The sequence below is a fragment of the Homo sapiens genome, chromosome 16, assembly GCF_000001405.40.
Source record: "Homo sapiens chromosome 16, GRCh38.p14 Primary Assembly".
Lineage (NCBI taxonomy): Eukaryota > Metazoa > Chordata > Mammalia > Primates > Hominidae > Homo > Homo sapiens.
This window is the reverse complement of record NC_000016.10, coordinates 56,036,400-56,040,772: the sequence shown is the minus strand read 5'-3', so window position 1 is coordinate 56,040,772 and position 4,373 is coordinate 56,036,400. Positions and strand designations below refer to the sequence as shown.

At 38.4% G+C, this 4,373-nt stretch overlaps 1 long non-coding RNA gene across 1 annotated transcript; it reads left to right on the top strand.

Moving 5' to 3' along the window:
• Nucleotides 1-751: 751 nt before the first annotated feature.
• On the top strand, nt 752-2,471 carry LOC107984815 (uncharacterized). The gene is made up of 2 exons (XR_001752329.2): nt 752-824; nt 1,939-2,471. It is a non-coding gene; the product is annotated as an uncharacterized LOC107984815 (long non-coding RNA).
• Nucleotides 2,472-4,373: the final 1,902 nt, after the last annotated feature.

The following is a 4,373-nucleotide window of genomic DNA, read 5'->3' as shown; positions in this document are numbered from 1 at the left end:
ACTCCAGTTGATGATAAATATACATTGTGATGAGTGCCATGGACTTGAATGTGGGGCTGTGAGTACAAATGGCCAGGGGAGTTTGCTGGTTAAATGGAGTTGGCCCAGCATGTAGGGTTGAAACTTGGGGTGCAGAGTGGTCCAGGCAGAGGCCTAGGCAATGTGAAGATCCTAAGGAAGGAAGTTACTTGGGACATCCAATGAACTGAGAGACAGCCAGGGTAAGCTGGGGCTCAGAGAACAATAGGGCAAGTGATCCAAGGTGAGATTGGCAAGGTCTCCTCTTAGCCCGGCCACACAACTAGTTGGAGGCAAAATGGGTACTATTATTATATCCTCGCTGTGAGTCTTTAATAGCTACATTTCTTTTCTTTTCTTTTTTTTTTTTTGAGACGGAGTCTCGCTGTGTCACCCAGGCTGGAGTGCAGTGGCGCAATCTTCGCTCACTGCAAGCTCCACCTCCCAGGTTCACACCATTCTCCCACCTCAGCCTCCCAAGTAGCTGGGACTACAGGCACCCGCCACCACGTCTGGCTAATTTTTTTTTTTTTTTTTTGTATTTTTAGTAGAGACGAGGTTTCACCGTGTTAGCCAGGATGGTCTCGATCTCCTGACCTCGGGATCCGCCCGCCTCGGCCTCCCAAAGTGCTGGGATTACAGGCGTGAGCCACCGCGCCCGGCCTCTACATTGCTTTTCTTTCCCTATTCCTCTCTTAATCTCTGTCCAAATCTAACTGCCTTGATTTTCTAGGGCCACAGCTCCTCCCACCTGTTTTATTGTTCCTGCTGGACTTTCCACCTGGAACGCTTACCTCTGCATCTCCGTAAGTCAAAAATCCTACTTACCCTGTAAACTAGGGATTATAAATACAAATGTTTCAGCAGGTGAGGTAAATGAATGACATGACCTAATATATTATCACATGGTAAGGATATGGCATACTGGGACATGCATGTTCCCATCACACTCAAATCCAGTGCTGTGTGAAGAACTTTCTGTTCTTCATGATGGAAATGTTCTGTAGCGGAACTGTCTAATACAGTAGTCACTAGTCATATGTGGCCAGTATGACTGAGGGATTAAAATTTTTATTTACTTAATGTAATTAATTTTAAATGTTTATAGCCCATATGTGGCTAGTGGACTACCATATTGGACAATGCAGCTCTAGCCATTTACTTCCATTCTGGAATGTGGGCCCAATATTGCCAAATATTCCAAGTTTTCAAGAGAAGCCATATATCTGAATTCTCACATTTGAAAACTTATGTTGGCAACAAATTCAAATTTTAAAGATAGACTGTGAAAGACTCTTGCTTCTGGACAAATGGAGTAGTTACACATTCCCCTATTCCTCCTAATAAGTACAACTAAAATCCTGGATAGTATATATAACACAAGCATAAGAAGACTTTGAAAAGTGGAGAGAAGAAGACAGACTTAGGATCTCAGGAATCAAGATGTAACATACTGGTGAGTTCCCTGGGCTTTCTTTTTATGTCATATATCCCAGACTTGGAATTGAAGGAGTCAACAAGCCAGAAACACCAGTGGGCACAGAAAAACTAAGCCCCAACAAAAGCTATCTCTGACTGATGTAACAGGAAAGGGGCAGCCTAGCAACACAGAAAACTTTTAGACAATAGCTATCATACTCCAGCCAAACATTATAGGAAAAACTGTGGTCCTGTCCACAGCCATGTCAACAAAGGCCAAGTGGGGAGCGTTGAGTTCTATCCTCCATGAGGGTGTAATAAGGCACCCAACATCCTTATCAGGGTGGTGTCAGATCGAGCCAAGTAGAGAACTTGCATGACCAACTCTTCGCCTTCCTCCTCCATTCAACCATGTGTTGCTGGAGATCACTTGTGGAACTTTGTAGCATTGACTTTTATCTTCATCTGGCAGTAATGAGGTTCTCTTTCCCTCCCTGCTAGGGTGGTGTAGGAGGAGGTCTGGTGGAGAGTCAGGACTTTCACTATCAGCCAGCAGTAATAAAACCATGCCACCCAAGTGTTAATGGAGACCACCTGGGGAGCCAGAGCTCCTACCACTGCCAGGAAGTAACAAGGAACTCTCCCCATAACCTGCATCATCACTTTTGGTGTCAAGAAAGGCTCAGTGGGAAATCTGGCCTTTTACCTCCATTTGCCAGTGACAAGCAAGTGCTATTCCTCCCCCTGCTGAAGTGGCATTAAAGAAATGAAGTTAAAACAAGAGGTTTAAATGAGATCTAAAGGCTTATCACTTAATAAAAAGTGTTCAAGATTCAATTTAAAAAACTCACTTTTCATACCAACAGCCAGAAAGATCTCAAACTGAATGAAAAACAATCAATAGAGGCCAATGCTAAAATGACAGAGGTATTAGAAACGTCTGACAAAGATTTTTAAAGTGACCATGATAAAAATGCTTCAATGTGCAATATAAACATGCTTGAAACAAATAAAAAAAAGACAATCTCAGCAAAGAAATAGAAGATATAAAGAACTATATGAAAAATGAAAAGTAAAATGACTGAAGTAATAAACTCAGTGGCTAGGCTTAACAGAATGGAAGTGACAAAGGAAGGATCAGTGAACTGGAAGACAGAACAATAAAAATAACTCATTTAAACAACACAGAGAAAATAGACTAAAAAAAAAAACCAGTTTCAGTGACCTGTGGGACTACAATAAAACATCCAGCATTTATGTTATCAGGATCCCGAAAGAACAGGAGAGACTGAAGATGACAAAGCACTGAAAGAAATAATGGCTGAAAACTTCCCAAATTTGGCAAGAGACATAAATCTACTGAGCCACAAACAGGACAAATCCAAAGAAATTCATGTCAAGATTCATAATAATTAAACTTCTGAAAATTAAAGACAAAGTTCTGAAAGCAGGCAGAGAATGACATCTTACCTGAAGGGGAAAAACACACAAGCAAGCAAGTAAACAACATAATAGCAGACTTTTTTTATCTTAAATCATGGGGGCCAGAAGAAAGCAGTACAGTGTTTTTTGTTTTGTTTTATTTTGTTTTGCTTTCTTCAAATGCTGAAAGAAAAGAACTGTCAACCCAGAATTCAATATCCAGTGAAAGTATCCTTCAGGAATGAATGGGGCCAATGAAGATATTCTCAAAAGAAGGAACTTTAATAGAATTTATCACTAGCAGACTTACCCTAAAGAAATGGCTAAATGAAGTTCTCTAAATGGAAAGTAAATGGTAAAAGAAGGAGCCTTGGAACACCAGGAAGAAAAAATAAAAGCTAAAATACAGGTAAATACAATAGACTTTCCTTCTTTCCTTGAGTTTTCTAAATTATGTTTGACAGTTAAACTAAAAATTATAAAACTGCATAATGTGATTCTAAGTGTATATAGAGAAAACATTTAAGATAATTGTATTTAAATGGGGGAAGGTAAGGACATGTTAAGGGAGGTAAGTTTTTTATACTTCACCCAAATTGGTCAAATGACACTATTAGAGTATAACAAGCTATGTATATATAATGCAATACCTAAAGTAACAATTAACAAGTAAAAAGCTACACAAAAATATACTCAAAAAGCATAAATAAAAATGTAATTGTAATAAATGTTCAAGGAGGCAGGAAAACAGGAATAAAGTTAGGGAAAAGAAAAGAAGGCAGGAAGAAGAAAACAGAGAACCCGAAATAGAGAGAACAGAAAGCAGAAAGCAAAATGGCAGACCTAAGCCCTTCTGTACATGTAATTACATTAAATATAAATGGTCTATAATAGCGTAAAAGACAGAGATTGGCAGAGTGAATTAAAACACATATTGAAACTATCTACTGTCTAACAACTCACTTCAAATATAATTATATAGGCAGGTCAAAATTAAAAGAATGGAAAAAGATATATCCTATAAATATTAATCAAAGGAAAGCAGGAGTGGTTATATTAATATTAGATAAAATAAACTTCAGAGCAAAGAATATTACCAGAAACAGAAAGGTCATAAGAGGGTCAGACCACCAATAAGTCATAGCAATCCTAAATACACATGCACTGAACAGCAGAGTTGCAAAATATGTGAAACAAAAACAGAATTGAAAAGAGGGATAGACAAATCCATAATTACAGCTGGAATCTTCAACATCACTCTCTCACAAATTTATAGAACAATTAGACAGAAATGAACAAGGATATAGAAGAATTCAATGACACCATCAATCAACAGAATCTAATCTAATATTTGCAGAACACACCATCCAACAACAGAATACAGATTGTTTCCAAGTGCCCATGAGCACATACCAAGATAGGCTACATCCTGGGCCATAAAACAAATCTCAATTAATTTAAATGAAGTGAAATTATAGAAAGTGTGTTCTCTGACCACAGTGAAATCAAACTAA